Consider the following 7,117-nt stretch of genomic DNA (forward strand, 5'->3'; position numbering starts at 1 on the left):
CAAGTGTCTCTTCATTTTTATGTAGTTTTCCATAGAAAATGTTTGTTACATAATGCCTGTTGCAAACCTCTCCTTAGTAATATCCTGGAAAGCAGTTTACTATCAAACAGGTACTTCCTACCTCTATTCTCAACCAACCTATTTTGTTGTACTGAGCATTTAACTCTGTCATTCATTCCTTCATTTACCTTTTCAGTAAGTTTAATTGGGCATCTACTATGCACCAGGCATTCTTCCAGATATTGGGGACATAGTAAACAAAACAGGCAAAGTCCCTGATTCCATGGAGCTTGCATTCTAGGCAATAAACAGTTACAGTCAATAAGCAATATATTAGGTAGATATCTGGAGGAAAAGATTCATATATATCCAACTGTTTACTTGACATCCACAGTTGGATGGCTAGTACACCATAATATATGCAGAATGAAGCTCCTGATATCTTCCAGCTTACCCTGCCTAATATTCCTCTGCTCAGTTATAGACAGTCCCATTTTTTAGGAGTTGTTCAGGATAAAAACTTTGAAGTCATTGCTCATTCCTTTTCCTCACACCTTTTAGCCAACATCTCCATAAGTCCTGAGAGCCCTATCTTCAGAATATATCCAGAACCTGACCACTTCTCTGTCTCTGCCTCTACCTCCCTAGTCTGAGCACCATCTTCTCTTGCCAGGATAACCACAATAGGCTCCTGACATGCCTACTCATGTCCAGCCTTATAAACAGCTGTATTCCAGTTGGAGCCAGTCTCTCCTCTCCCATAAGTGATTAGGTTAGGCGAGGCTGACCAGCATCCTCTGGGAGTTTCTCAGTAAGAACTAAGTCAGATAGAGCTATTTTCCTACTAAAGCAGGACTGGGAAGTTGTGAGCCTGGGCGTGCCTGGACGCTGTGGTTGAGCATTACGAAGAAAGTCAATCTAGAGTGTCATGAAGATGAAGAAGAGCATCAAAGTCCCCAGTTCTAGCTCTCCTTGATGCTTTCTCATGGCTTCAGTAAACAAACCAACACATTTACCTTTTCACCTACACTAGTTAAATCTGGTTTTCTGTTGCTTGCAATACGCACATTCTAAGACCATCTCATCTAAGTTATCTTGAGTTATATTTTGTTGTCGTTAACTTAATAGACTATGTTTTTTAGAGCTGTTCTAGGTTTACAGAAAAATTGATCTAAAATTACAGAAAATTCCTACATGCCCTCCTTTCTCCCCCCTTCTCCACACAATTTCCCCCTATTTTTTACACCTTGTATTAGTGTGGCACATTTGTTACAGTAAACGAACCAATATGGATGCAATATTATTAACTAAAGACTATAGTTTACATTAAGGTTCACTCTGTGCTTGACATTCTATGGCTTTGGACAAATGTATAATATCACATATCCACCATTACAGTATCATTCAGAAGAGCCTCACTGCCCTAAAAATCCCTGTGCTGCATCATTTCATCCATCCCTCCATCCCCTTCTTGATTTATCTGTTCACTCAACACAAATACCATGAACAACCATCATATTACATTGTGCTAATAGCTGGGAACAGGAAATCAGATGAATAAATAAATAAATGCAGTGACGAGCTTTGTGGTGACTCAACAGACGTCAGCATAGGGGCTGGTAAAGGCACAAAGGAAAGAGTAGTCAAAATTCTTTTAACTTCAGTTGGTGAGCATCAGCAGACAAGTATGAGGGCCTTTGCTTCCACAACTCTCATTTTACTTTGCATGAACATTATGTCACCTCTAGGAAAATGGCATAAGAATAAGCAATATAGTATTGTCTCTACATTGTGAGTTTTTATAAAGTCAGTAAATACATATTATTTTCCATTCAAAAGTAATTTAAAATTATCAAAATAATGAAACACAATTCCTAGATATAATTAGGAAATACCTGAGACAAATGTCAATCTTTGACTAATCTATTACCTCTATTGTTATTCTTAGGAGTATCACTAGTCCATGAGATAGCATGGAAAACCTTTTATGTGTAGAGTAAAGGAAACGTACTGCCAGCCTTCCCAAAACACTGCAAGCTCATGATTCTGAGTCTTCTCTTTCTTTATTTGTAAAATAATAGAGTACAGCCCTGTATTTATTGATTTTACTCCATACTTCAAAGCAAAGTTAAATCAGAGTGCAAGTTCACCATATGCAGTTGAATGTTTCTGAAATTCCAATGGGGTCTTCACAATTAAAACCCAGTGGTTTTTTGTTTTTTTTTTTAATAATCCTACATTTGAAGAAGTTTCTGCCATACTTTTCTCTAAATAGTAACAAAGACAAACCAAGGTCTATATTTGGTCAGCACTGATGTATTTTGACTTTTTTGTTTTTAAAACTGAAAGGGGACAGACTTGGGTTCCTAGAATCAGGAAAGAATCAAAGACTGAAAATAGCATTGTAACTGCAAAACTGGGCTTTCCCTATGAGGCATGCTAGAATAGTTCACTTTTGATTTGATGAAGCCAGAACTCATTGTAACTCCTACTTTCCCAAGCTTTTAGCATCAATATTATTCAGTAGATTCTACCAGCTGTATTTCTTTGGGGGTGGTAATAAATTAGGAACAGCAATGCCAACCCTAGTTAGAATCCGAAGAGTCATGGAATCTTCCTAGAGGAATATAGAGAATTCCACAAATTTTTCCCTTTTAGTCCTAAACCACAGGCCCTTTATCTAGTTTATCTAAATGGAACTGATCATCTTTTACTTGAATTTGATTCTATGAAGGTAGATACAACTGTATACTTGATGTTGTGTGATAGATTTGTCCCAGGTGGGAGTAATGACCCTGCGCGGTCTGCATACTACCACATTGTCAGCCAAATCACAGGCCCAAGGCACCTCCAGAGCACACAGAGCACAGCTCTGACTCACTCCATTTTTTTCTTTTTTTTTTTTTTGCAGGGTGGGTGGTTTGTTTTGTTCTGTTTTGAGACAGGATCTCACTCTATTGCACAGGTTGGAGTGGAGTGGTGCAACCTTGGTTCACTGCAACCTTGACCTCCTGGGCTCAAGCAATCCTCCCATCTCAGCTTCCCCAGTAGCTGGCACTACAGACACATGTCACCATACCTCGCTACTTTTTGTATTTTTAGTAGAGACAGGGTTTCACCATGTTGCCCAGGGAGGTCTCAAACTCCTGGGCTCAAGGAATCCACCCACCTCAGCCTCCCAACGGGCTGGGATTACAGGCGTGAGCCACCCCACTCGTCCTCTTACTCACTCCATTTGTGCATGCTTTTTTCAGAATAATGCCATTTCTCCATGAACTATAGCTCTCTATTTCTCTCAAAGTATGACTTTTAGTGTTAACTTCAATTAAGTGCTTGTGCTTTTAAAATATCCTAAAATGAGAACATCTAAGTGTGAGCAAGTAAAGGGAATACATTTGTGCCTAATGAAAAATTAATGTCATAGGTCCAACTTTTTCTCTATGTTATGAAACCTGATAGGGGTAGGCCTGGATTACTCTCCCTCACTCTCAGTCAAAATTCCATTGGGACAAATGGAATTCTGCTGAACAACTTAGATCTAGCAAGCAGGGCCAACCCCTGGAGCTGGGGGTAGAAGGGTGATTTCCCAAAGAAAGGAGAATTGGCCAGACGCAGTGGCTCACACCTGTAATCCCAACACTTTGGGAAGCCAAGGTGGGCGGATCACCTGAGGTCAAGAGTTCAAGACCAGCCTGGCCAACATTGCTAAACCCCATCTCCACTAATATTACAAAAGTTAGCTAAGCATGGTGGTAGGTGCCTGTAATCCCAGTTACTCGGGAGGCTGAGGCAGGAGAATTGGTTGAACCCAGGAGGCGGAGGTTGCAGTGAGCCAAGATCACTCCACTGCATGCCAGCCTGGGTGACAGAGCAAGACTCTGTCTCAAAAAAAAAAAAAAAAAAGAAAGGAGACTTGTCTATATATCTTGCTACTCCTTATTTCAGCTCCTTTTTGACATAGTTAGCTCAGTTCATTCATCAATTGTTATTAGTTTTTAAAAATAATTTTCCCTTTCAAATTATAAAAAGAATATATCAAATATGTCAATAATGTCTTTAAAACTCTTACAGAACAATAATTAATGAACAATCCATGTATATATGGAGGGAAACCCTATATATGGTGATATGGTTTGGCTCTGTGTCCTCACCCATATCTCATCTTGTAGCTCCCATAATTCCCACATGCTGCGGGATAGACCCAATGGGAGATGATTGAATCATGGGGGCAGGTCTTTCCCATGCTATTCTTGTGATAGTGCATAAGTCTCATGAGATCTGATGGTTTTTAAAAGGGGAGTTTCCCTCCACAAGCTCTCTTCTCTTGTCTGCCGCCATGTGAGACATGCCTTTCACCTTCTGCCATGATTGTGAGGCCTTCCCAGACACATAAAACTGTAAGTCCAATAAACCTCTTTCTTTTGTAAATTGCCCAGTCTCGGGTATGTCTTCATCAGCAGCTTGAAAACGGACTAATACATATGGGGATATATATCTGACTTATCCAGTCCTTTGCTACCCTAAACAAGACAGTGCCGTACATCATTGTCAAGTCTCCAGGGGGATTTGCATGATTTCTCTGGGAGATGTAAGCAGGACTGCTGCTGGATCATAAGGTTTGTGCATAGTTAATATCACCAGTTACAGCCAGGATGTCTCCAGAATGGCCAAACTAGTCCTGGGTTGATCCATCATTGAAGAGTTCAACAGCTCCAGATGCCATGAAATTGCTCCACTTTACACTGGAACCATCACGATGGAGGAGCATACACCGTTAGGGACACGTAAGCAGACACTGTCAAAGACCAGACCGGACCCCCTTGCATCCATTTTACCAGCTCTCTTCACTCATCTCCAGCTTCAAAGTTTTGGGGTTTTTTTGTTGGATTTTGTTTGTTTTTGAAACAGTGTCTCGCTCTTTCGCCCAGGCTGGAGTGCAGTGGTATGATCACAGCTCACTACAGCCTCGACCTCCTGGGCTCTAGAAATCCTCCTACCCCAGCCTCCTGAGTAGCTGGGAGTACAGGTGCATGCCACCACACCTGACTTTCTTTTATTTTTTTACTTTTTGTTTTTAGTAGAGAGGGGGGTCTTGCTATGTTACCCAGGCTGGTCTCGAACTCCTGGGCTCAGCAGTGTTTCTACTGCTTAATATTTACACCTGCAACAATCGGTGGCTCACCCTTGGACACTGGAGCCCGCCTAGACTGTAAGAAGAACTGCCTTGGAATTGTATATCCTCCTCCACCCCCACCACGACCTATAGCCAATGACTTACTGGTGTGGACTTACACCAGCTCTTGTATCTCAAGGTGGGGTAAACACCTTGCACCCTGGAGATCAGGCTGAGTCTGGGACTTCACCTGACATCTCAACTTTACTTAGTTTCTCTCTTTCCTTCCCGCAGCCTACTTCTTCCACTCCCTTACTAATTTCCTCTGGAAGCTGTGCCTTAACAAACCACTTACACCCAAATCCTTGGTTCAAGCTCAGCTTCAGGAAGAATCTGGGCAAAGACACACATTTCTATTTCACTGCTGAACATAAATGACAAATTCCAGACATTGATCATGTTAGATTCTTCAGCATACTAAATTTGGGCTCCTATTTAAAACTACTTTCACTTTCTTTACTGGGCCATCTTAATATAATATACTAAAATCTCTCCTAATTGACAATCCAAGCTTCCTCCCCCACAGCTGCAGTCCCAGCTGCTGTCAAAGAGCATGGCTTTTCTGTGGGATAGTCACGTCGACCCCTGTAGGAACTCCATTTCAGACTCTCAGGGGGTATGACTGTTAGGTGTTTCTGTGTCTCCAAATGTTACTCATGGCAGAAAGCAGCTGCAATTGCCCTTTACAGAACATGCCCCTCTCAAATAGCTGTCACGTGAAAATTTGAGTCATTTATGAAGCTGCAAACCAGTAAGAGAGGTAACAAGATTAAGTCAGGGTGGGCGGGAAAGTGCAGGCAGCACACACAGGCTGCTCGTCCAAGGAGTGTGACTGTGAGAACACTTGGGAACTCGGGCAGCAGCCAGAGGAAACAGCAGGGGCAAAGGAAAGGTGTATGTATATTCAAGAAAAATACAACCTCAGCGTTTTTAGGACAGAAGAATTGACGCCAGTGAAAGGAAAAAATTGTGTAGGGATGAAAATAAAAAGATATTTGATAGATGAAGTTCCCAGAGAAGGTGAGAGGGGGAGGAAATGGCAGTCTTGGAAAGGAAGAAGGTCTTCACTGATGATCAAAAGTGCCTGTGTCTTCAGGCATAGGATTTCCTATGAGTTCCATGTCCTCTGTCTGTATGTTAGGCTTAAGGACAAAGGCCTATTTGTGCCATACAAAGAAAAGTGCCTGTATTAGGCCGTTCTCACATCACTATAAAAATACCTGAGACTGGGTAATTTATAAAGAAAAGAGGTTTAATTGCCTCCTGGTTCTGCAGGCTTTATGGGAGATGACATGGTGCTGGCATCTGCTCAGCTTCTAGGGAGGCCTTGGGAAGCTTACAATCAGGGTGGAAGGTGGTGGGGGAGCAGGCATGTCACGTGGCAAAAGCAGGGGCAAGGGAGAGACGTGGGGGGAAGCTCTCTTCACTCATCTCCAATACTTTTAAACAATCAGATTTTGTGATAACTCACTATCATGAAAACAGCACCAAGCCATGAGGGATCTGCCTCCATGTACCAAACACCTCTCACCAGGTCTCACTTCCAACATTGGTGATATGGTTTGACTGTGTCCCCACCCAAATCTCATCTTGAACTGTAGCTCCCATAATCCCCACTTGTCGTGGGAAGGACCTGGTGGGAGGTAATTGAATCATGGGGTCAGGTTTTTCCCAGGCTATTCTCATGACAGTGAATAAGTCTCATGAGATCTGATGGTTTTATAAAGGGCAGCTCCCTTGCACATGCTCTCTTGCCTGCCACCATGTAAGATGTGCCTTTGTTCCTCCTTTGCCTTCTGCCATGATTGTGAGTCCTCCTCAGCCATGTGGAACTCTGAGTCCATTAAACCTCTTTTTCTTTATAAATTATCCAGTCTCAGGTTTTTCTTCATAGCAGTATGAAAATGAACTAATACAATAAATTGGTACTGGTAGAGTGGGGTA

General features: G+C 42.0%; 1 annotated feature.

The window, feature by feature from the left end:
- Window positions 6,011–6,070: an enhancer, noted in NCBI's record as "active region_22000". NCBI's record gives its function as "activates an Ori minimal core promoter by ATAC-STARR-seq in GM12878 lymphoblastoid cells {active_cell/tissue: GM12878}" and the evidence as "EXISTENCE:reporter gene assay evidence [ECO:0000049][PMID:35858748]".

This window comes from Homo sapiens, chromosome 4, assembly GCF_000001405.40.
Source record: "Homo sapiens chromosome 4, GRCh38.p14 Primary Assembly".
Lineage (NCBI taxonomy): Eukaryota > Metazoa > Chordata > Mammalia > Primates > Hominidae > Homo > Homo sapiens.